At 38.7% G+C, this 27025-nt stretch overlaps 1 annotated feature.

Annotated features, from left to right (window-relative positions):
* Nucleotides 19844-21043: an enhancer, noted in NCBI's record as "BRD4-independent group 4 enhancer chr1:83240976-83242175 (GRCh37/hg19 assembly coordinates)". NCBI's record gives its function as "activates an origin of replication core promoter dependent on BRD2, P300/CBP, MED14 and CDK7 cofactors, and independent of BRD4, by STARR-seq in HCT116 cells {active_cell/tissue: HCT116}" and the evidence as "EXISTENCE:reporter gene assay evidence [ECO:0000049][PMID:35650434]".

Below are 27025 nucleotides of genomic sequence, written 5' to 3'. Positions count from 1 at the left end.
TTAAGAGTAAAATGATCCCTGCTCTGTGACATGCTTTCCCTTCCTTCTCCCCTTCCAGCTCAGCTAGAAGAATAAGAATGTCTTATCTCCTTTATATTCCTAAAAATTTTAGGTTTTTTGGTGTAGGGGAGGAAAGGAGTGATACCTTTTCTCATCCATCATAAGGGTCATGGTCAGTACCTCATAACAAAAAGACAATTTAAGAAGAGAAAAACATAACAAATTTAATTTTAGTTTTACATGATATGGGAGACTTCAGAAGTAAGATCCAAAGATACAGGGGAAGCTATTTGATTTTTTACTTAGGACTCAGAGTCAATGAAGCAGGGACAGTCATGTAGAAATGTGATTGGACAAAAAGGGTATAATGTAATACCAATTGACTGGCCAGTAGGGGAACACCCAGCAAGGCCTGTCCGTTCAGATTCTTGGTCTCTCTCTTGTAGCATTTCTTTCTCTTGAATATGGAATAGGCTCCCTCTGGAATGAGGGTCTTAGTCTTAAATTCTTTATGGCCAGCTCTTATGCAGAAAAGTGGAGCAGTGGGAGGGGAAGAGAAGTTAGCGTAATCTCTATTTTTAGACCTTACGGCTGACTTCAGGCAAAGGGGATTCTAGTTTCTATGAGTCACCCTGAGGAAGAGGAACTCTAATTTCTATGACTTGCCTCAGGGGAAAATGAAGGATGAATGACAGGAGGGCAGAAGAAGGTCTGAGAGAAACTTTGCTTCTGAGGCCTTATATTTGGGTATTGTTTTCTGAGCTCCATCATTGGCATCATAGGTCTCAAATATCCTGTGAGTTTCCATTTCCAGTTGATGGAAGCTTTACTTGGCAATTATTTATATTCATTCCAACATCAACCCTTCTGATTAATGCTAACGCCTCATCCCATAAATTTATTTTCATACTTAGTTTTGTTGATTGCCAACAATTTTAGATCTGGGTCACCATAAAAGACTTATGAAAGTTTATGCCTTTTGATTTTCAGGAAATAAACTTTTAAGCATTTCAACTGACATGTTTTTACAAATAAATGTGCAAAGACCTTTTCTCAGAACCGACAGCCTTTGAAGTCCACTCAGGAAAGGGAATTATAGGAGACTCCAAGTAGAGGTTGATAAAGAAGATATCATTTGAGAGGAAGTGAAGAGGGTTTCATCCATGCAATGATTATATTTTACATCTCTACAACTAACACTGGCTATAACTGTAATTCCACCTCTTATCCAGTCTGCATTTTAGTTGGGCTCCTCAGTTTTCATAAGCAAATGTCAGGCTTACCTCAGATCAACTGATTCTTAACGATATCATTCTGCCATAAATAAGTTAAAAAATATCTCAATTTTAAGTACTGTTCTATTTGATGTTTAGTTGTAGGGAACATTGGTGTTGAATTACTGTTTTTGAAAAAATATGGAGCCTTCCTTTATTATGCCTAATTTTATCCTTGGATCATGTTGGATTGCTATCAAGCTGCTATTATCAAACTATGCCTTAGTATCTTGGAAGTCTGGCACTGAAGAATGTTTATGGATAGGTAAATATCCTACTCTGCACTTAATTATAATGAGATTGTTGAGGGCAATGTTTCCCACATCACACTCTCGGTAGGTAAATATCCCACCTTGTACTTAATTATAATGAGATATTTTTGTTGAGTGCAGTGTTTCCCATATCACACGCTCTGCTTTTCTGAGGATCTAAAGAGACATTTTTATCAGGTTTCAATAAGAAAAGATGTGTGCTCCTCCCTTCTTCACTGTTTTAACAAATTCCTTTTCTTGAGATGGAGTCTTACTCTGTCGCCCAACCTGGAGTGCAATGGTGCGATCTCAGCTTACTGCAACCTCTGCCTCCCGAGTTCAAGCGATTCTCCTGCCTCTGCCTTCCAAGTAGCTGGGACTACAGGCACCCACGACCATGCCCAGTTAATTTTTGTATTTCTAGCAGAGGCGGGGTTTTACCATGTTGGCCAGCCTGGTCTTGAACTCCTGACCTCAGGTGATCCACCCGCCTTGGCCTCCCAAAGTGCTGGGTTTGCAGGCATGAGCCACCATGCCTGGCCTGTTTTAACAAATTCTAACTAAATCTTACTATATGCAGAAGGCACTGAGCATACAATGATGAACACAAAGAGACATGGTCACTAACTTCACGGAACTTAGAGTTTAAGATGTGAGAGGCAGGAAATGTATATCTTATTTAAAGTTGTCAAAATGAAAATGCAATATGTGCTATGAAGAACGGTTTCATCTTGCCATTAGAGCATAGAATAAAGGACTTGACCTATTTTTGAGATAAGGAAAGAAATTAAAGTGGAGATGCATACTCATGGAAGGTTTTAAGCAGGTTGGGAAAGTATGACATGGTTAGACATGTGTTCTGAAAAGATCACATAACTGCCATGTGAAAGGCATGTTGTGTTTCCCTAAAAAGCAGAGATCAAATTTTCAGCCTGCTTTTCTCCAAGTCTTGATAGTGTTGATTTCAGTTATTAACTTTATCCCTTACTCTACAATATTCTTTATATGTTTAATTTCTCTTTGCTCTATTTTTTTCTTCTTTCTTTTCCTTTTTTTTCTAGAGACTCACTCTGTTTTTCTAGAGTCTCACTCTGTTGCCCAGGCTGAAGTGCTGTGGTGTGATTATATAGTTCACTACAGCCTTGAAGCTTAAAACTCCTGGGCTCAAGCAATCCTACCACCTCAATTCTCCCAAGTAGCTGGGATTATAGGCACCAACCACCAAGCCTATATCTTTATAATCCATATAATTTGGAGATGGAGGAGAAATGAGGAAAGGTACTAATAAATAAATAAAAAAGAATATATCCTATTTCTGAAAATGTTTATAGTGCATTTGAAGAGCTAGAGAAAGTGTAAGAAAAAAAATGGCTCTGAAAAATAGAGAATACATAGATGAGAATAGTTCTTTACCGATTAATTCACAAATAAAAGAATTTTATTTTTAAACAAAGTAGAATTGAACTAGTCAGCAGCATTGAGATGTCTAGCAAAGCCTGCTGAATGTCTTTTTCAATATAAACAGACTTTATCTCTCATATCTTTCTCTTTTCTTTCTTTTAATCCTGGCACTCTTATTCTTTTATTTTGTTAGTTGCTTGCTATTAGGCAGTAAACTCATTGAGGAAAGGAATCCTGCCTTTCATTTATTTATTTTCTGTAACTCTGTCTCCCCCCATAACATCGAGTATAACATCTAGGGGTCTCTTTGTTAACTGATCTGTAGCTATGCATTCAAAAAATATTCATTCTTTCTCAAAGTTATGCTTGTTGGTAGAGCTGGTCTCTGAATTTCCAAGCATTGGCATATAAAATTGACAACTGCAAAAAGTATTTCTTTTGTGCTTTCCCTCTATTTCCCTTCCTGATAGTAGTTAAGAAAAGAGCATCTTTTGACAATGAAAGAGCTAATGTTCCTATGTAAAATGCAGATGAACTTTGCCACTCATTTACACATAAATGCCAGGAAAATGAGTAGATAACAGAGTACCCATATTCAATTTTTTTCTCTATTTTCTGCTTATGTTTTTAATTTTATCCCAATGTTTTTAAAGTTCAAAACAAATAGGCAAGTTTTTCCCTTCATAGGTTAAGCTATTACAACTACCAAGCCTAATAAGACCATCTTTAAAAAATAAAGGAAAGGAGCCCTGAGGAGGCTGAGGATGAGGTAAAGTGATGTGTCCCAGGAGCTGATGTCCCAGGAGCTGGAGGCAGTTAACCTTCAGGCCCATGAAAAGTACTGAGCACCAAGGGAAAGTGGATGGAGATAATTTAGGGTCTTTATGGACGGTTTTCTTTTTCCCCTGTGAAAGCAACTTACCTCGTAAAGAAAAAAAAAAAAGATGTTTGTCTTGTTAACCTGGCTTTGAAGAGGAAAGACCCTGAGAGAGAAACAATAGCAGCAGCAAAGTATAAAGGGAAATAAACTCCTATAAGCGTTTTCCGGTCTGCAGACTCTAGTTTGGGGCAATATTAGGGCATAGTCACAAGGCCAAAAACAACAAGAGCAATAAAGCATGTCCTGTCTCCCTTCTCTTCTCAAGATTAATCTCTGTGCTTATTCCTTATGAAGAAGCCTTCTGTTGTCCTCCTCAGCTGGAAAGCCTTTTTGCTTTTCTTCACTCTTGGAATATTTCCTAACTTTTCTTGCTTCCATCTTTCCTTCCATCAATTCCTATTTTCCTGTAAAAGCAGCTGTAGGAGACGTCACAGGGCACATCCTCAGAATGCAGCAGCTTGGAAAGCCATAGGTGATCTGCTTTGAGGGCAGCAGGCCAGAGATTGCACCTTCACTGCTGGGCTCTGAGGGTTCACCTAGAAGAGCTTTGACCGATCACACCCAGAACAGCAAAAGTACTTGGTACATTTTCATCCACAGTGAGAAATCCTTGGTTGAGGGTCAAGTTTAAAATCTAACGTTTAATTATATGAACACATACTCTGGACTAGAATTCATCAACATCATGGTCATTTGATTAAATCTGAGAGATACATATATAGTATTTGGACTTTTAGGTTTCATTTTTAATTTTTACATGGATTGTTTTACATATATATGTATAAAATATGCATAAAACAGGCACCTAGATCAAGAAACATATCAGAGCCAGCACCACTGAAGAACTCGTCTGGCCTCCTTCCTTTTACTCCTTCTCCTCCAAGTGTAACCTTGTTTTGACTTTTAACACTAAGAAATTGTTTTGCCTGTTTTTCACCTTTAAATCAGCTTCTAGCTCCCTGTGCTCAATATCAGGTTTGGGAGATTCCCACATGTTGTTGCAGTAGCTATAGATTGTTCTAATTACTGTGTCCAGTGATTATCAAAAGGTGCTCCCACACCATCAGTTATCAGCATTGTAGAAACGTACTAGAAATGCAAATATCAAAGCGGTTCTTGTGCTGCCAACTTGACAATGCTGAATCAGAAATTCATTGTGGGGCAAAACAATCTGTATTTAAAAAAAAAACTCTCCAGATGATTCTAATACAAATTTTTTGAAAAAAACTGCTATATATTATTCCATTCTGTAAATACATTGTGATATATTTATCATTCTATTGCTGATGGATATTTTGGCTGTTTCTAGTGTGAGGTTATTATGAAGAGCTATGAAGATTCTAGTATGTGGCTTTTGGTGATCATGAATATGCATTTTCTTTAGTACATACCTAGAAGTGACACAGGATTTTTCTCACTTTGCAAACCAAGGACCTCCAGCTGGCAACGGCCCTGCCCAGGCCTTGCTCGGCCATGCTACCTGCCTCAGGAGACACCCCACCCACTTAGTCCACCTGGGCCTCACCTGGCTTGTGCACTGGCTCAGCCTGCCTTTGGCCCAGGTGTGCCCCAGCCCACCTGTGTTATAGCTTGTACTCATGTTTGGTGGTTCCAAAGTTCTTGTCCCACATTCAAGAAGAATTAGGAAACCCTGACAATTGAAGGGTGAGGAGAATGGAGAAGAATTTTATTGAGTGACAAAACAGCTCTCAGCAGAGAGGGGATGAGAAGATGGTCAACCACCCAGAGTCTGGTGGTTTCCCTCCCAGTGTGGCTGAGTCCAGGGCTTTTATGGGCTCAGAACAGAGGAGTGCATGCTGATTGGTTTGTGAGTATGCAGAACAGGTTAAAACAAAGGCACCACTCAAACGTGGGCATAACAGTATAAAAAAACCAATTAGGAAAGGGCAGATATATGTAAAATAGGTGAAGGGTAGGGATCAATCAAAGGATAGCACACCAAATGGGAAGACAGGTTCTCAATCTGGACCATGGTTTTGACTTGTAGCTTGACTTTCAGGCTTTAAACTGTCTTTGGCTTGGAGGTAGGGTTTCACTGGGGACCTGCCCCTATCTGCCTAGGCATTTGTCTGCCTCCTGCTGCTATCAGGAGTATAAAGTCTGGATCATATGATATGTTTTTGGTCAGCAATATGGTAGACTTTCCTATATGGTTTCCAAGTGGTTACACTAGTTTATATTCCCCAGCAGAATATGAGTTTGTTTCTTAATATCCTTACCAAAAATGTGCTTGGTATTCATTTTATTTTTAGCCATTCTCATGAGTGGTAGCAGTATCTCATTGATGTTTTAGTATACATTTCTCTAATGATTAGTGAGATTGCGTACTTTGTTCTATACCCATTTGCCATTTGTCTATCTTCTTTGATGAAGTCTATATTCAAATCTTTTTCCATTTTTCTATTAAGCAGTTTCCTTTTATCTCACTGATTTTTAGATACAAGTCTTTGTCAGATAAATGTATGGCAAATATCTTTTTCCACTTTGTGGGTTACAAAGCAATCATATTTTGATAACAAATATTGCCAAAGTGTAAGTATGAACTAAAAGCCTGCCTTCTAGCTTATAAATTTTTTTAGCATACTTCCTATTTCCTGATTATCTACTAACTTTCTTTCTTAATCAAACATTATTGCAAGGAGTAGTGGAGTTTTGTTGCACTATGTATAGCAGCTGTGGTGGTAACACCATTCAAAAAGCTATATACAATATTTGGAGCAGGCCAATGTCTCACAACAAACTCTAAATAACTCTTAGGCATGTGCACCCCCATCTTTTCTATATCTTATAATTGCTATCCCACCTTCTTTTAAATATGGTTCTAGGTGACTGGCAAGTAGCCCACTAATAGGCTATGGATGATAAAGGAGGCATAACCAATCGGTGGGAAGAGGAAAAGATTATTTCAATAAACAGAGCTGGGGCAATCGGTTGGTTATTTGGATAAAAATCAATTCAGATTCTGATCTGAAGCTATTTATGAAAATAAGTTCCAAGTGGAACAAAAGTTAAATATAAAAATTCCAACCATGAAGAAATAGAAGATAATATTTGTGAATATTTTTCTGATTTTTTTTATGTAAAATGAAATAGCAATGAGAAAGATATATAGATATAACTATATTACACTTTGAAACTTTTGAACTTCAGAAACCAAACTGAATTCAACAGTAAAAAGCAAACAATGAAATATTTCAAATAAATATGACACAGGGTATATATTCTTAACATATTAAGATCACAAATAGGAAAAATATTAAGAACTCAATAGAAAATATCCAAAAATTAAGATAACAAATACACTAATTATATTACAATGAGGCTCAACTGGCTTTTAAATTAATAGTTGTTGAAAAAATAAAAATAAAGCAAGGAGGAAAAAAGCCCAAACTCATATATTCAAAGAAATACAAATTAATATTCTTAAAATAAATTTCCAATAATATAGAGACTCTAGACTAAATTTAGAACCAAATGTAATTTGAATTAAGAAAAAAGAAGCTCTCATAGATAAGCAAAAATCTAATTTCTATTGTAGCAAGATGCAAACCAGGGAGAGAAAAGAGAGGCAAGTCCCCTCCCATGTACTAGGGAGTAGTGCAAAAAAAGAAAAAAAAAGAGTAGACAGTCTTGACTGCCCTGAGAAAGCAGCCTTTTTGTCTGTGTCAAAAGGAAAAAACAAAAGAGGAAATAAAACTGCAAAGAGTTTGGGGAAGATTGGTGATGGGGTCATTGATTAGAATCAGAAATGAGAATAAAAAGCAGCCCAGATTTTACAATGAAAAAAAATCAGTTGTTTATTATATTCAAAATGATCGAGGCACTATGGTTAATGCTAGGTTGACAAAGATAAATGCAGCCTATCCCTGCCTTCAAGGAGCTTAGACAGGTTAGCTGATAATTTAAATAAAATATTGCTGAAGTGATTATAATGTCAGCATCTTGAACAGGATTTTTATTAAATTTGCCTGGGGTACTTCCACCTAGTCCCTTGAAAACACTAGCTGTTTGTGTTGTGAGTGTATATGTGTGTGTGTGTTTCAATTTATCTTAATAGCTGATACTTATAATGATCTTGATTCATTAGAAACAGTGAAATTAAACTGATGTGTTCTGATAAAGAGGACAATAAAGCACAAGGTATATTTTGTAAGGATTTGTGGCAGAACTGATTTTTAAAATGATTCTGGCTCTTACAGAGTTAACATGCAACTCTCTCTCTCTCTCTGAGTCAACTGAGATCTCGGCAAAGCTGAAATTCTGCTACATACAATTCTTCAGCAGGTAGGATTGATTGAAACATTGAAATGAGCTGCTTGTTCTGCTGTCTTTGAGAGTATCAACCAAAACAAAGAGGGGTGTCTGGGAGAAATAGGCACCCACTGAATCTTTACAGTACACAAATATCTTACATGGCGGTCACTTTAGGAAGTCCAAAAGAAGTGAGGATAAACACCTGATATTTCAGACACCAAAATATCTGTTGTTTCTGTGAACAATTACTATAATTTAAATTGTGTTTTGCTTGACTCATCTAAGTAATTACCTCAAATCCATGCTTCATTTTTTAATCTCATGCTATATATAGTTTATTATTGTTACTACCTGGAGAAATAAGTAAAGCATTGTGAAGTTTCTTTGCTTTTTGCAAGATAAAATCTTTGTTCTTGCAAAATAACATATTTGGTGGTATCACCCGAAACATTACTTTTTTCTAGAATTAGAAACAGCATTCATAGAAGAGATCTGAAAGTGCACTGTTTCAAAGATAAGTTTTCTGCTGCATGTAACTGAGTCTCTGGGAAATTTTATGACAAATATCCATCCATTGTTTTTGTAGTAATCATCGCATTGTGAAATTAAAATGGACTCAATACTAAGCATTTTTAAAACAATTACCCAGCAGTGAAATTACTACATCTTTTCTTCTAAAAATAGATTGTTATCATACATACATTTATGTGAAAAGTGACTGAACTTTTTGATTCAGTTCAGCAGCAACATTCATTAAACTTGCTTTTTAATTTCTTCAGTTGGTTCCTGTAAAGTGCAAGGCTGTTCTGAAGGTTTAGGGTGTGAATATGTGGGCGTGATTCCTTTTGATCAAGAACAAAACTGAACCTTATTCTCACCCAGCTTTCCCCTTTTGTGCTGTGTGTTCCGAGCAGCCTTTCAGAACAGGGTCCCAAATTGCAGCGATGTCCCAAATCACAGGATTAATGTGTCTACGAACAGACCTCTTATGCCTCCAAAATGAAGTACTCCTTGCTAATTTCTCTTCAAGACACCAGCTTAATTGCATTTTAAACAAATGGGCTGCTTTGCTGGCCAACTTTTAAATGAGATAACAGCAATGTTCACTCTCCAGCAGTGATGAGTGCCTTGCAGTAGATTCAAAACTCTGTTCAATAACAGGTTTAATCTCACACCAGCAGATTTACTGCAGAATAAACTGCCACTGAGCTCATAATTAGTAAAACAACAACAAAAAAAAAATCCAACCTACTAAATATTATTTTCCAAAGCAGCAGGCAATCTTTTAGTGGAAAAATTCAGTCCTGGTCTTTGTCTGTTTTATTGATTTTATGTATGATATTGGGAATTCATGCTATGATTTAAGATAATGTTCTTTATCGATCACGTAAGCAGTTGTTTAGCTATCCAGTAACAAAATGATGCTCGCATTCACAGAATATGGGACATACATAGCCAGGAGACTACAGTGCTACTCTCTTTAATGTTTATTTCTTTTTTTTTCCTACAAGCATATTCACTGCTGGAAAACAATGGCAAAAAAGCATTTGTGCTTTAGAAACAATCTTCTCATAATTTTCTTTGTTGCAGCTATTAGTGGCCAATTGTGATTCAGTGAAAACCCCGTTCAACAAACAGATGTTACAAAGTATATTTTCTGCTTGCTGCATCTAAACAAATATTAATGAGGTAATTGGAACTATGAAGGAAAAAGGAGTGTTTTGCAAGTATTTATGATTTCATGTATGAGGCTATACCCTTCTAAAACTTCTCATTTATATTGCACAATTGTAAGATGTAGTTATAAAGATATACCAAGGGACACATTTTTCATAATTGTCTCAAATATCTGTGCAAAAAATTCAAAAACCTTGTCTGCAAATAAGAGTAAATGAAAGCTTTTGTGCAAAAGTGGAGAAAAGCAGTTATAGGCATTTTTTTAAAAAACCCAAGTACATTATATATAGCATACAGAAATTTTTAAAAATCTTACTTGTTTTGTCTAAATATAAATGAAAACTGTGATAGCAAAAAAAAAAAAACTATTAACAAATAGCTTTTAAAAATTTGGGCAGTGTGCTTTTCCCAACATTTTTCAGACATAAGTTGTCTTTAGTACAAGCACTAGCTCACCTCTCATCACTCAAACATATAGTAATGGCATGTGAGGCTAGCTTTATTTCTGGCATTAACCTTTTGATAATGAGTGCTACATCAAATGGAATTTGAGGAATCTAATGGTATTGCTGTGCAGTTTATTTTTTTAAGACCCCCAAAGCAAATTAAACCTCAGTGCATCAGACATCATATTCAAAGACAATAGCAGTTTTAAGAAATAACTAAAAAATACCAATTTTACAAATAAAGCTTTTAATGCTATAGGTTTTCCAAGAGAAGATTCAAAAAAAAATACTCATTATTATCTTCATTTAAATTACCCCTAATTAGTATCGATCCTGAGGATTAAAAGTTTAAAAAAGAAGAAAAGAAAAAACAGAAAAAAAAGTGTTTCTTGTTCCATCTCTAATTATCATGGTATTTCTAAGTCATACAACCAAATAATTTTAGAAGTGAAAGGCCACAGGAATGACCTAATTCCCATAACTCACAAAGGAGGAAACTAATGTTCAGAAAAGTGATGTGATCAGCCCAAGGGCACATTTTTCATTTGTCTCATCTATTATATGGGAACAGTGTTTATTCTTTCATCACATACCTAATAAGTTTCATAGTACATACTCTAGTCCATCAGATTTCAAAGTCATTGCTCCTAAACACACAGTGGATGATCTCATCTAATACATGGCCACCTTATAGATCCTGTGCAAGACTATATTCATCTTTTCCCGATCACTTCAATTTTGGCCTCAGTGCTGCTAGAGCAAGCATTTGTTGTGACCTTTTTTGCAACTTTATTGAAGCATGATATACATGTATTAAAATGCACACATTTCTAAGTGTACAGTGTGATGACTTTTGAAAAACACCCATGTAACCACCATTCCAATCAAGATATAGAACACTGGCTTCACTCCAAAAATTTCCTTCCTGTCTCTGCAACAAATCCTCCCCCATCACTCACCACAGGAAATTGCTGATCTGATTTCTATAATTATAGATAAGTTTGGCCTGTTCTAGGACTTCATATAAAAGGAAGCACACTTTTATTTATTAATTTGATATGGCAAATACTTATAAGAGCTTACTATGTGCTAGACACAGAGTGCTCTACAAATATCAGAATATTCAATCCTCTCAACCACCATGAGGTGGATCTTATTATTCCTGTTGTACAGATAGTTAAACAGAAGCCCAGAGAGATTAAGTAAATAGTCTAAGGTTACACAGTGGGTAGATGATAGACCTAGAATTTTAGCCCAATAGTCTAGTTCCAGAGCCTATGCCCTAACTCCCACAAAATGCAGCATGAGAATAGATGTAATGATAAGACCTAAATCTTATTCTCTCCTGGCCACTCTTCCAAGCATTTACAAATATTAGCTCATTTAATTCTCATAACAATCATATGATGTAGGCGATATTTTTCTCTTGACTTCATAAGTGAAGAAATGGAAGCACAGCAAGACACAGAGTGGTCATAAAGCCAAGACCTTCACATACATTACATCTGAATCTCCAGAGCCTAGAAGAATGCCTGGTATGTAATAGGTGCTCAATAAAACAAACACATTATACATAATACATTATATCCACTATGATATTATTTGGCTCTGTGTCCTCACACAAATCTCATCTCGAATTATAATCCCCATGTGTGGAGGGAGGAACCTGGTAGGAGGTAATTGGACCATGGGGGCGGTTTCCCCCATGATGTACTCTTGATAGTGAGAAAGTTCTCACGAGATTTAATGGTTTAAAAGTGTTTGGCAGTTCCCCCCAACCCCACTGCCATGTAAGACAAGCCTTGCTTCCCCTTCATCTTCCACCATGATTTAAGTGTCCTGAGGCCTCCCCAGCCATGTGGAACTGTGAGTTAATTAAACCTTTTTTCTCCTATAAATTACCCAGTCTCAAGTAATTCTTTATAGCAGCATGAAAATGGACTAATACACACTGTAAGATTGTATGTGAAATATATTATCAATAACATACTTTATATATACATCATATATGTCTTTTAATAAATGAATAGGTTTATTTTGATTTTTTAGCATCCCATGTATGGAAAACATAAACTCAAAGTGTTTTTTCTATTCTGTCACTCAACAACAATCAATACAAAATGCTTCTGTGACCAAATGCTTGGGGGTTTGCTCCACACACCAAGCAAACCATCAGTTCTGCAGCAGACGCCAGCTGGGTATTCTCCAATTCAATGCTGGACTATCTACCTAGAGGTAGCAGCAGATCCCACAAGTTGAGGGCTCAGTCCAAAGACTGCTTCCTCTTCAGACCTCAGATCAGGCCTATGGAAATTCTGATTAAATGGCTCCAAGTTGGGGCTCTCATGGCCCCCTCTTTGGGTTTGATTAATTTACTAGAGTGGCTCACAGAACTCAGGGAAGCACATTTACTGGTTTATCATAAAGGGTATTACAAAGGATACAGATGAAGAGATGTATAGAATGAAGTATGGGGGAAGGGGTGCAAAGTTTCCATGCCTTCCCTAGTCATGCCAACCTCTATGTATTCAGCAATCTGGAAGCTCTCAAAATCCTGTCCCTCTGGTTTTTTATAGAGGCTTCATTACATATGCATGATTGATTAAATCACTGTCCATTCATAATTGACTTAACCTTTAGCCCCTCTCCCCTCCTCAGAAGTCAGGGGGTGGGGCTAAAAGACCAAACCCTCTAAAATTATGCCTTGGTCTTTCTGATGACCAGCCTCCATCCTGAAGCTGCCCAGGGACTTCTAGCATTCAGTCAATTATTAGTATACAAAAATACATCACTTTGGATAGTCTGAAGACTGTAGGAGTTGTAAACCAGGGAACTGAGCCAAAGACCAAACATATATATTTCACAATATCACACATTCCCGTTCTACAAATGAGAAAACAAAATGGAGAGGTTCAGAAAGTGAAAGTAAATAGCGTCGAAATTTACAAACAGATTGCATGGTTTTAACACCAAGTAAGTAAGTTTGTAAAGAACACACATTTTCCCTGTATTTTTTATGCATTTTTCAGCATTTGCAACATAACTTTTCTCATGTAACCATCATGCCAACCCTACGGAGAATCGCTTCTCACCACTTTACCTGTTAGATAACCAATATGCAGGGGGATTAGACAATTTCCCATGGTCAACTAGCTGGGAAAGAATATAATCTATGTTCATATTCAGGCTGATGATGCAGGTGGGCAGGCAAGCCTTGAAATTGGGCCTTAGCTCAGGAGGGTTCTTGGTTTTTCCCAGGAAAGCATTCGAGGGTGAGCCAACAGTATTAAACAGCAATATTGTATTGAACTGGAGCTGCTCCTTGCAGAGCAAGGCGGACTTGTTGGCAGTGCACCCAGAGTCAGCAGTGTATGGGCTGTTGGCAGCTGTATTTATACCCACTTATACCTACTTTTAATTACATGCAAATTAGGGGGTGGGGTATTCAGAAATTTCTAGCAGTGAAAGTAACTAGAGGTTGCCTTAGGTGCTACCTATTGGTTCCTGCCAGTTCCTTCACTTCATCCTGTCAACCAGGAAATACATCCTGCTGGTCTACTATCTCGTTCCCCCTCAAAGATTAGACACTCCTCCTTAATCTTAAGGGAGCTGCAGAAGGGAGGAGGTTTTTCTGCTGATTTTATGGGGATAGGCCCTGCCTAGCATTGGAGCAGTAAAAATCCCTGGATGCTGCATCTAAGGGGCTTATTGGCCGAATGAGAGCATGTTTTCATTTTCTATGTCAGAAGATGGGATGGATCAGAAGCCTTCTACCACCATTGTTTTACATGGAATTGTTGTAGTCTAGAAGACACAAACTTTATAAGTAGGTTAAACAAGCAAGGAACAAAATTATTTGTAACAAGATAGCTATCAAAGGTCCTAGGAAGGGTGAAAACTAGGTGAGACTAGAGAGGGTACTTTTGACAGTGAACCAGATACAGTTGGGGTCAGTGTCCTGGTTATATCTATGTAACAAAGTGGAATTGATCCTTGGCGGGGGGGTCCTTATTTCCTAGTTTTTAATAGGACCAAGTCTCCTGGTTGAACAGGGGAGCTATTATTTTCCAAGGGGAATGCTTTATTTTCATATTTTTCAAAGGTCTTTTGAACCTGGTCTAAGTTCCAAAGGGAGCATAGTAAGATATGTCTGTCCTCCTGTTTCCCATCATGGCTCAAATTAAGTTTTTGGGCATCTTATAGCCAATTAAAATTTTAAGCCAGATGCAAATGGAGGTGGGCAGGCATTCATTAGTCCTTAAAACACTTTTGAAGCAATATAGAAGCCAAAAACCAAAATACAAAAATAAGGTTACATATTAACAAAATCAAGTTAGGCCAGGCATGGTGGCTCACATCTGTAATCCCAGCACTTTGGGAGGCCAAGGCAGGTTAATCACGAGGTCAGAAGTTCAAGACCAGCCTGGTAAAGATGGTGAAACCCCATCTCTACTAAAAAAAAACACAAAAATTAGCCAGGCATGGTGGCTGGCACCTGTAATCCCAGCTACTCAGGAGGCTGAGGCAGGAGAATTGCTTGAACCTGGGAGGTGGAGGTTGCAGTGAGCTGAGATTGAAACACTGCACTCCAGCCTGGGTGACAGAGCAAGACCCCATCTCAAAATAAATAAATAAATAAATCTAAGTTATAATGGAGGAAATTAGTGCTTTTATAGACCTCTAAGATAAAATATTTCAGCATCAGGCTATAACAACAGTTAGAAACAGAGAAGGAAAAATTACAGGAACTGACAAAAGCTGAAGAAAGAGTTATCTCAGGCTTTCTCAAAGGGAGAAAAAGCTGAAAGCAGTGAGACATAACAATGGTTGAACCTCTGAGATATGAATGAAAAAAGGTTTTAAACAATACACATTATAAAATTAAAAAGCAAATCAATATCTTAAGAAAACTGTTTTAATATAAAGACCATTCTTTAGAAAGACTATTATAAGCAATTCCATGTTAATTATAGCTAGTTTAATCACACACAATTTTTTTTCATAAATTCCTCTTCACAAACCTTATCATGACATACACAGATCATCTATGACATGTTTGGCCTTTCTGACTTGTCTTATACCACCTTTCTCTTAAATACCAGTCAGTTTATTCTAGGATAAGATTTACCATACAAGATTTTCCCTCATTTAAAATTACTTTCTATATCCTATGTTACCAAAAATACATTTTTGTATCTATAACCTTTTCCACATCTCTCTTTTCTACCGACTGGTTCATTTACTTTTTACAACTAAAATGCCATGTATAGCCAATCACTATGTAAAGCCACTTTTCTGTTAGCAATTCTAAAGCCTGCAAACTTTAGCATCTCACCTAGGTAAGAACCTTAAAGTTAAATTTTAAAAGACACAATGTTACCAACAAACTAATAAGTTTAGACTAGTCCCATTCACCCAAAGATTACCAAGTTATGTGAACTTGAGAAGTATTTGGTCTTATCTGTTTAGTTTATCAGAGCCATTTTTTTATAATTCAATTTGATAGCATGTTAGATACAACACACATCACAACACCTGTATATACACATAAGCAGAAACATATTAAACAAAGCAACCTATACAAGATGGCTGGATCCAAGTTATTTACAAAACTTTGTTTACTTCAATAGGTATGTAATACAGGGAGAGGCAGGGAAAGGGTGCCATCTAAGGGAGGGGGTGAACCATGTTGCTCAAGGGGAGATGCTGAAGTTCCTGAGCCACCAGAGAACTCACCCAGCAGCGGAGACACGAATGAAAAGTGTTTGGGTAGCTGCTAGTTGATATTGCAGACTGTCTGTCAAGTCAAGGGTCCAGGAACCCCAGTAATTTTATTCAACCAAGGCAGTTCATTGGGGTGAATGGAAGATGGTTAGCTCTGGTATTGACAGGGAGCCTTTTTATTCTCTCACCAGGGATTGTTAGGATAGTCTCATTGCCAATGCCCCTCTTGATTATAGTAGTCACACTGATTCTGGCCCAGGGGCCAGCAAGCTGGGGACTCTTGTCTGGGCATCCCAGATGCTGATCTCATGACACTTTCTCAAGATAGATAATCCTGAGGTAGCAAGGGGCTTAAAGCAGATGTTAATGATTGTACTTTTGGGGTTTTGTTTTCTCTGTTTTTTTTTTTTTTTGCTTTGTTTTGTTTTTTGTTTTTTCCATCTCTATTGTTGTAAGTCCAAAGGCCATGTTTAAGAGTTTGCTTATAGGGGTTTAGAGTCCCACTGCTGCTCTTTTTAGGTTCCTCCCAACATCAGGGGTAGATTGAGTAATAAAATGCACAACCAGGAGAGTTTGCCCTTCCAGGGAGTCTGGGTCTGCATTAGTGTATTTCTTGAGTACCTCAACAAAAAGGCTCTGAAACACAGCAGGACTTTTGTCTTTCCCGAGTTACTTCTTTAATTTTGTCATGTTTAACTGGCTTAACGAAGCATGTTTTTAAATATATTAAACATGTTACCATGTGATTTCTGCATTCAAGATCTTGGGAACCATCCTGGTTATCTCACTAAGGGTCCAGATCAGGAACTTCTGATACAATAACTATGCATGGCCTTCATTACATGTGGCTGCTCCATCTGCATACTCACAGTCAGCACGCAGAATCCTCTGCTTCTCCACTCACAGCAAGTGGATGACCATACATGCTAGTCATGCCAAGTTAAATTGAAGAACATGGTCAACTTAACAAACTCTTCTATAAACTTCCCTGGGTTATCTGAAAACTGGCCAAATTTCTCCCTGCATAAAGCCAAATCAGACACACAGAATGGCATAATGTACTCTAAGTGTTCCCTTCTCCCTGCCAGCTACCTCCTGCAATGGACACAGCTTTCATTTTAAGGGCCGATAAGGGGCTCCACTCCTGGTAGTACTGGTTGGGCTTACTTCAATGAGCAGTAGGGGTTATAGGCTGGGGCTAGTTGGATAATGGGGAGGGGTGCCATGCCTCATGACCTTGGGGTAGAATCCTGCGTTAGAGAACTGGTAGACCCCCTCAGAATTGAGGAAACTAAGGAGACAGTGGGGAGGGCCTATACCTTCTAGTGGGAACAGTTAGGATGGGACCCCTTAAACATGGCTTCTTGGTGCCCTTTATTTCATGAGCCATTAAAGAGCCATAAGCCTGTACATAAGGCACCTCTTCCCATTTTCCTTCTTTTTTACGGAATAAGTCCAATTGTAAAATAGTATTATGATGTAAGCAGCCATTTTAGGCCAAATTTCTTGGTCTGCCGATTTGTATTGGACCCAAGCAGAGTTGGAATAGAAAATGAGCTCCTCCTTCTTTAAGCCATATTTGAATTTGCTCCAGTTACCTAAAAGCCACCTAGTGGCAAGCCGTCTGGAATGCTCACCATTTCCCTATGTCTAGCAAGGATCTTTACCAGTCACAGAAGTTTTTCTAAGTCCAGTGAAAGAAAAAGCAATTCGGTTCTTGCTATTTTTCCATTTTAGATTTTTACCTCATGCAGAGGTGTGAGTATAGGTCTCAAAGCACTGTGAAAGTGGATTGTGAGATACAAGCAGGCAGTAGAGTACTGCACATGCCGGCAAGCGAAATACAACAAAAGAAGTATTTTTTACATAGCAAGTATAAAAGGAAAAGTGAAAATAGAGTGACAGAACTTTAGGACAGAAAACAAAAAGGTAAGACCAGATTCTCCTACAGTGGGTTTCTATCTTACCCACAGTCCTAGAAAGAATGCCACTGCCAAAAACCCCAGAGCATCCAGGAAGTAGCCAACAATACCAAGTGCTAAAATCACCAGAGTCCCCAAGTATTTGCCAATGAGTGTCTCCACACCAAATGCCTAAAACCCTGGAGTATCCACGGTCCAACCAATGTCAAAAACCTGAAGCATTCAGAGTCAGCCAGTAGTGAACCCCAAATGCCTGGCTGGGGCCACGGAACAACATGACTGGTGCTGCAGAGTCAACATGATGGGGAAACACCCACAAACAAGTGTCCTGCCTTAAATAATTGCCCAAATACAGTTAGCAGGGAGCTAAAGCAAAAAAAAAAAAAACCCTGCAAACAAAACATACATTTCAGAGCAGAAAACAAAATTGGGCCACGGAAAAATGATATGGTGTTAGTGGAGAAAGGACTAAGAGAAGTAGGAACAAGGATGTCATTGGTCAGGACTGCTATGGGGGACTGTGAATTGACTTATTTCCTGGCTCACCCGATCTCAAGTGGGAAGAAGCAGAGGGAACACTCACCTGTTTGTAGGAGCCAAAATGGCCCTGATGAATCTACAGCTTGGGGCCTGGGTGAAGGTCTTCCCCATGTTCCCCCAGCTGGGGTGAGTTCGGCTACCACAGGGGACCAGCATGCGGTCTTGTGACCAACCAGCTGGAGCAGTGGATCTCACATGAGGCCGTGCTGTTGCTGCTCACCCTTCTGCTCAGCTCCACCGCCTTTCAGGAAACATGATGGCTCTTAAAAGAGTCTTTGGCTAGTGTTACAACGCTGCAGTGTTAGCAGCTCCTTACTGTTGCAGCCACCATCTCTCACTGCCTAGTCGATTGCTGTCTCTCTCTCTTTCCATCTCTCGCTGTCTAGTCAATCGCCATCTCACTGTCTCTTGTCATCTAGCTGATCGCTGTCTCATCATCTTTGTCATCATCATCTTTGATGTCTTCTTCATCTCTGTTATCTTCATCTCTGTGGTTGCCAGACAATGCAAGCAGGCAGGCAAGCCCTGAAATCGGGGCTTTGCACGGAGAGGTTCTTGACTTTGCCCAGGAAATAATTCAAGGGCGAGCCAGTAGTGTTGAGAGGTGACAGCGTGCTGGCAGTCCTCACAGCCCTCTCTCGCTCTCGGTGCCTCCTCTGCCTGGGCTCCCACTTTGGCGGCATTTGAGGAGCCCTTCAGCCCACCGCTGCACTGTGGGAGCCCCCTTTCTGGGCTGGCCAAGGCCGGAGCCCACTCCCTCAGCTTGCAGGGAGGTGTGGAGGGAGAGGCGTGAGCGGGAACCGGGGCTGCCTGCGGCGCTTGCGGGCCAGCTGGAGTTCCAGGTGGGCGTGGGCTTGGCGGGCCCCGCACTCGGAGCAGCCAGCCGGCCCTGCCGGCCCCGGGCAATGAGAGACTTAGCACCCGGGCCAGCGGCTGCGGAGGGTGTACTGGGTCCACCAGCAGTGCCAGCCCACCGGCGCTGTGCTCGATTTCTTGCCGGGCCTTAGCTGCCTTCCCGCCGGGCAGGCCTCAGGACTGCAGCCCGCCATGCCTGAGCCTTCCGCCACCTCCGTGGGCTCCTGTGCAGCCGGAGCCTCCCGGACGAGCACCACCCCCTGCTCCACGGCGCCCAGTCCCATGGATCACCCAAGGGCTGAGGAGTGAGAGCGCATGGCGCGGGACTGGCAGGCAGTTCCACCTGCAGCCCTGGTGCGGGATCCACTGGATGAAGCCAGCTGGGCTCCTGAGTCTGGTGGGGACTTGGAGAACCTTTATGTCTAGCTCAGGGATTGTAAATACACCAATCGGCACTCTGTATCTAGCTCAAGGTTTGTAAACACACCAATCAGCACCCTGTGTCTAGCTCAGGGTTTGTGAGTGCACCAATCGACACTCTGTATCTAGCTGCTCTGGTGGGGCCTTGGAGAACCTGTGTGTCAAAATTCTGTATCTAACTAATCTGATGGGGAGGTGGAGAACCTTTGTATCTAGCTCAGGGATTGTAAACGCACCAATCAACGCCCTGTCAAAACAGGCCACTGGGCTCTACCAATCAGCAGGATGTGGGTGGGGCCAGATAAGAGAATAAAAGCAGGCTGCCCGAGCCAGCAGTGGCAACCCTCTGTGGTCCCCTTCCACACTATAGAAGCTTTGTTCTTTCCCTCTTTGCAATAAATCTTGCTACTGCTCACTCTTTGGGTCCACACTGCTTTTATGAGCTGTAACACTCACCGCGAAGTTCTGCAGCTTCACTCCTGAAGCCAGCCAGACCAGGAGCCCACCGGGAGGAACGAACAACTCCAGGCGCGCTACCTTAAGAGCTGTAACACTCACTGCCAAGGTCTGCAGCTTCACTCCTCAGCCAGCGAGACCACGAACCCACCAGAAGGAAGAAACTCCGAACACATCTGAAAATCAGAAGGAACAAACTCCAGACGCGCCACCTTAAGAGCTGTAACACTCACCACGAGGGTCCGCGGCTTCATTCTTAAAGTAAGTGAGACCAAAAACCCACCAATTCCGGACAGTGTTAGAATTTTTTTGAACCAGAGCTGGTCCTTCAGAGCAGAGCTAACACCTAGGTAGTGCTCCCAGAGTCAGAAGGATATGGGTTATTGGCAGCTGTATTTATATCCACTTATATCTACTTTTAATTACATGCAAATTAGGGGGTGGGTCATTCAGAAATTTCTGGAAACCAGGGGCAGTAACTTCGAGGTCATTGTCATGGAGAGGGGCAGCAGCTTCGGGGTTGTTGCCAAGGCTATTTGTAAACTGTCAAGGCACTGATGGGAGTGTCTTATGCTAATGAGCAGCGCGGGAAACCAGAGGTTGCCTTTGGCGCCACCTGCTGGTTCCTGCCAGTGTCTGTCTTCATCCTGTTGGGATTAGGAAATAAGTCCCGCTGGTCTCCTACCTCATTAGGAGTTGAGTCTGATGTTGATAAATTTGAAATTCCTCATTGTGTAGGTGATACATCGAAAGTGCATGAGATTAGTAAAATAGATGATGAAAACGGACAACACAAAGCTAATCAAAGTAAGTTATAGCTCCCGAGTACGTCAGTGTGCCAGGAATTTTATATACTGCATTTTATTGATTCAGAGCCAACATCAATTGTAAGACATATCCTGATTTGTTAAAATGAGAAAGCAATAAACGACTTGGAATCAAGGAGATATAATATGTTATCCTATAATATAATGACCCTACCTGATTATTATTTCGGTTTTTCAAGTGAGAAAAACAAGGCTCAAAGTAAAAAAAGTGACACATTCATGGACCCAGAAACTAGATTTGGGTGGTTCTGGAGTCTGTCCCTTCATGTGACTTATGTCATCTGTCACTGTTTTCTGCCCTGTCTGATTCTTTTGCCTGTTTAGGAGCTGCTCCTGCAAAAAGAAGCTTTTTCGAGAGAATTCACTTTAAGGGAAGGTCAAAACATTGCAAATCCAAATTATTGTTGGTTTGAACTACTGAACTTTTAAACTATTTTTTAAATTAGTATTATACATACAACCTACAATTGATTTGTTTATAGTTGCACAATGTCTCACTTTATAGTTGCACAAGATCTCACCTTTTCTACTTTTGAGTTTGGCTCAGACATGCCCTTTCTTTAGTTACAAATGGTTAAATCCAGCTCTTTTCCAGAAGGTCACCCTGTCTTTCATGAACTAACTGGCTAACCCATTATGACAATAAGAGAATTATTGTATTTTGACAACCTGTTCCCTTCGGTTATTTTATTTTTACAGTAAAGTGTTGTTAACATTTTAGTAAAGACATTTAGTTAAACAATTTTATAAAATGAATAGGTTCACATGTTCTAATGCCTTTTAAATTTTCTTTATTTTAAATCACCATAAATTTATATCTTCCTAAAGATAATCCATCAGAGGAATTGAGTCTGCCACACCCGCTCACAATTCGCATTTTTATATCTCTGCATTCAAGTATCGTTATTTTTACATGTAACAGGAAATGTTTGTCTGGTTCTTCCTAATGTGGGTGGGACTTTTTTCTGAAATCATGGCAATGACTTCTGTTCCAACTGTGAAAATCCTGTAAAATTTAAATGATTAGATTTTCAAATGGGAGTTTTTTTTCTTTTTTTTTCATCAAATTTAAATTTCTTGTGAAGAGACGTGATTTTGTGGAAATAAATTCCTGATGAATAATTGTCCCTTTTTCTAGGAGATATGATTTGTTTAGCATCCAGAGGAAAAATGCATCATTGACTTATACTTTGTACAAATAAAGAATAAAAGTTGTTTACTTTCTTATCAGAAAAGTCTCAATAGCAACTTCTAGTTTTCTACAGGATTTGAAAGTCTGGAATTTTTTCTAATTTTATTCTCTCTTTTTGTTTCTCTCTCTCTCTCCCTTTCTCTCTCACTCTCTCTTTAGCCAGATGGCATTTATAAACCCCACTGAAAGAAGAAATATTCTAGAAATACAGCAAATTTATTCTGGATATTTCCAGTGATTTCTTTTTAATCCTTTAGGGATGTAAAACTCCTTTATGCATATGCAATCCTTGAATGTTGTCAAAGCATTTGAACTTCCCTTGCTTCACTAATACTCTCACTTGCCTCAAAACACAGCCAGGATAAACAATATTAGTTATCAGGATTGGCTTCACGGGCCTGCAATTTGTGCAGTTGAACAGGGACCCATGTTTGGAAGGACCTACACACTAACTCTCTGCTGTCATTATCTTTCTATACTTAACAACATTTAAACAAGAGCCCCCAGATTTTCACTATGCACTGGACTCCACAAATTATGTCATTGGTCCTATTAATTATCCCCATAAATATAAATGCTCTTCAACTTATCATGAATTTATCTGGACATGGACTCATTGTAGGTCAAGGAGAGTACTGGATACTTATCGCTTTCCTACCATTTTAAAGTTGAAAAATTGTAAATCAAACCTTCATAAGCCAGGAACCGTCTGCAGATAGGAAGGTTTCTTTCTCCACTCCACATCAGAGGGATAGCTAGCAAAAAGAAACCAGGAAAAGGACAGTTAGAAAAGTTAAATAGTTGCTATGTTTTGGTTTTATTCTTTAGCTTAAAAATATAAATTCACAAAACATTAGATATGTTCATACTTGCTTATTATCTGTCTCCAAATATAAGCCATTTTTTTCTCACTGAAAAATTCATATCCTAAAAAAGAATTGTCATATATTTGAGTTCTTACAGTCTGTCATATAAAGTGTGGTCTCAATTATTTGATTTTAAACATGAGCCTGCGATAACCTCAATCAATTCTAGTTGGAGATATTTATAGATATCATGACAGAAATTTGTTTTAAAAAATGGAGGCAACAATATTTGGTTATTCTTGGACAAATGATCTCACAATTTTAAATGTCGGATCTTACTGTAGAAAATCCTTCTAAAGATTACTTTTAAAGGATAAATGGTAGAATTTTACCTTGTCAAGACAATAAAAATATACCTTCAGAATAATTTTTAAAATTCTAGAATGATATGTGAACAGGTACTTGCAACTGGAGATAAAGTTTGTACTGACAGTGTCATATATGAGTTCAAAATGAATTCAAACAACTTTGATAGAAGCTGTGCTATGGAAGATTGAGGAAGATGACTCTTAAGGGGACTCTGGTGATGGGGATGTCACAAGTGTTAGAGATCATGTGAAGAGTGATAAAAGTATTTCATAAAATTCATGTGTGGGAAAATCTTATAAATTCACATGATTTTGTAAATTATTGAATGTAAATTGTATATCACTAAATTAAATATTATAGTGATTTGACTCTTTAATGTACTTGCTTCAAAGTTTATATATTCAAACTGTCCCCCCCATCCCTCAAACTCTTTCAACTGGGAAAATGAGGAGTTGCCTTGTATTCAGGTTTGCCTTATGTTTAAATGTATGTGATAGTAATCATAAACATTTCAAAATCACATATGAAAGTAACTCCTATTTGATGTTTGCTCTTTGTACAATGTGGATGGTTGATTAGCATAGCTAATTGAAAGTTGAATATATTCAGGCGTTCTCAGTTGCAAGGTTCTTTATAGCCACAGAGTGCCAAATTGAATTATTTTCATCTCTCTAGTCCAAATCCTGGGCTATGAATCTCTCCGGGACAGCTCTGCTGAGATTTATTACATGTACACATCTGTATTCCCCCGAAAGTCTTTCATTGCTGCCTAAATGAAGAGAGAGAGTCTGATTGCCTGTCTACCTCCCTCTTATCCTTTACACCCATGGCCGGAGGCAACTGCTGGTGAGGATGAGGTTACTACTAGAAGCAACAACCCTGAGAATTTGCATCTCTCTTGGATGAAAGCAAGCAAACAAAAACAAAGTCAACCCTACTTACTCCTGATAGATATTTCCTTTTTGTTACTACTTTAATGAAAGAACTTATTTTTCCCTGAATTCTTCTATTCTATCTCTCACATCTTTCACTCCTTTTCCATTCCTGCTGTCATAATCTTACAACAAAATGTTTTCACTCTGTGTGGATCTCCTTCCTCCAATTAGTCCATCTCTCGGTTTTTACCTGCCCCCTTCCCTCCCCCACATACACCATTCAACCCATCTTCAAGCCTGCTGCCTGTGTGCTCTTTCAAGTGCCCATCAATATCCCCTCAACTTCTGCTCACCCAATTTCTATGCCTTTTGATTCCCTAAGAATAAAACAAAACTCTTAGTTCAGCGTTTCAAACTCACCAAATTCTGATCCCAATTCACTTTTCCAACTTTGGTTCTTACTACTAGCATAATAGTAGCCTGAACTCGACTAAGAAATACCTGTAGTGTTCTTTAATATAATTGTTAATCATATTACTTTGTTGTAATTTATGTATTCTTGGGGATACTTTAAGTCTTGTCTAGAATGGATAGAGTGAAAAAGTAAAAATAGCTGCATTTTGAAACATTATGTTTCTCAGCTCTCTATTTCTGTTCATGCTGTTCTCTCTGGAGTATTCTCCCATCCTGATATTTGCTATTGAAATTCTATTCATCCGTTCATGGAGGTCCAGTCCGTATGTTATTTCTCACACGATTAGTTTCCGAATCAATTCAGGCAGACTCTTTTCCTCTCTCCTGCCCTTGAACTCTGCAGACCCCTCATGTGATGGCTCACATAGCCTTGTATTACAGGTAACTGAATTGCACCTACTAAATTATATACTGATTGCACAAAAAGCTTTCTACCTTTTAGTTTTAAAGAAAGTCTATCACAGAATCTTGCACAAAGCAGATACTCATAAACACCTGTTGACTGAATGAGGAAAAAAAAGTTAAATTTTCTGCCTCTAAATTTTAGTTTACATTCTAGAGTTCTACTGAGGACTCCCTTCTTCTAGTAGGTATCCTTTAAAAAAATAATTTTATAAGTTGGCTACCTTATGATGTTAGTATTATGGACAGAATACTAGTCGGTGACACATTCATTCTTGCTTACTTCCTAGTTGCGAAGTGGCAGGCAAGTCACATAAAGCTTGGGACATTCTTTCTATAAGTAGGAATAATAAGTAATAACTGACATTTACTTACTGCATCCTTACTGTGTGCCAAGGACTACTCTCATGCTTTATTTATCTTACTTCATTTAATCCTACCCAAATTCTAAAAGGTAGATACTGTTATCAATTCAGTATCCCTTAACCTAAATGCTTGAGACCAGAATTATTTTAAATTTTGGAATATTTGCATATACATAAAGAGATATCTTGGGGATGGGCCCCAAGCCTAAACATAAAATTCTTTCATGTTTAATATGCAAGGTAATTTTATACAATATTTTTTAAACAATTTTGTGCATGAAACAAAGTTTGTATACATTGAACTATCAGAAAGCAAAGGGGTCACTATCTCAGCCACCCATGTGGACGATCTGTGGTTGTTTGGCATAATCTTCATTCCTAACTTTGAATTTATATGCTACCAATAAGCAATGATTTTCTTACACTTACTCACACACAAGGACTTAACAGTAAAAATATGACGTGCTGTTGATTCAGTGAAAAAAATAATGTGTTCAGGTAACTAAGCATCCCAGTGACTTCACCAGAGTACCTATACCAGCTGTTAATCAACAGCAATAACAAACAACAGCCAGCTTTCAGTATCTACCTACAATGCTGTGATTTGATTAAAATATTACTGTATACCATAAATTTTTTAGGTGAGAAGAAACATCAGAAGCAGTTGAGACACCATGGAGTGAGTCCTTTAGGGATGAGGAAGCATTCTGCTGGATGGTTTTTAAAAATGTTTCCTCCAGAGTCATCTGCCTCATTAACAACAAGTTTTTGTTTCAGAAATGTGTCTTTGATTTTGTAAACTGACATGATTTCTTGTTCTGTTATGAATGCATACTTCTGTAGTCCTTCAATTAGCCCATCACACATTTTTACCATGTTGTCTATAGGCACTTTTTCTGCAGTGTTAACTGCATCATCACCATGATCACTATGATTAGGATCACCTTGATTCGAAAGCTTTTCAACTATTTTACCATCAATCAAGGAATGAACAACTGGGCTTCATTACTGATGTTAAAAACTCTGACGGCATATTTTTTGCACGTGTAAGGAGTTCAGACGTCATCTTTCTCTCACTTGACATGTGGAATCCTTCAAAGTCGCTGCCTTGTTCATCCTTATCACTGAACATAGTCATAGGCCATGGGTTGTGCCAGTGGTTCTGCCAGCCACTGTGTTTGGAACACAGTGCTTGGAGCCCTGCCAACAGCACATATGGCATCCTTCATGCTAAACTCCTTTTGGTAACCATCCACATCCCATGCTAGTATATGGTTCAAGAAAGTGCTTTTATAGTTATTCATAGATCTAAAACTACCCTAGTTATATGGCTTAATTAATGAGGTCATATTTGAGGGAAAGTACATGGCATAAATATTATTTTTGATGATTATTTCAGCTGAAGGATGAGTACAACAGTTGTCAAGGAATAACAAAAGCATGCAGTCTTCATCTACCCCAGTTTCCCTGCAGTGAACACAAAAAACTGATATAAAATGTGAAACCAATCGAAGAAGATGTCCCTGGTGATCCATACCTTTTTGTAAGCATAATAATGGGTTGGTCAGAAATGCACTCTGAAAACAGCAAGCAT

The sequence above is a fragment of the Homo sapiens genome, chromosome 1 (assembly GCF_000001405.40).
Source record: "Homo sapiens chromosome 1, GRCh38.p14 Primary Assembly".
In the NCBI taxonomy this organism is placed as follows: domain Eukaryota; kingdom Metazoa; phylum Chordata; class Mammalia; order Primates; family Hominidae; genus Homo; species Homo sapiens.
This window is presented reverse-complemented; position numbering and strand designations above follow the sequence as displayed.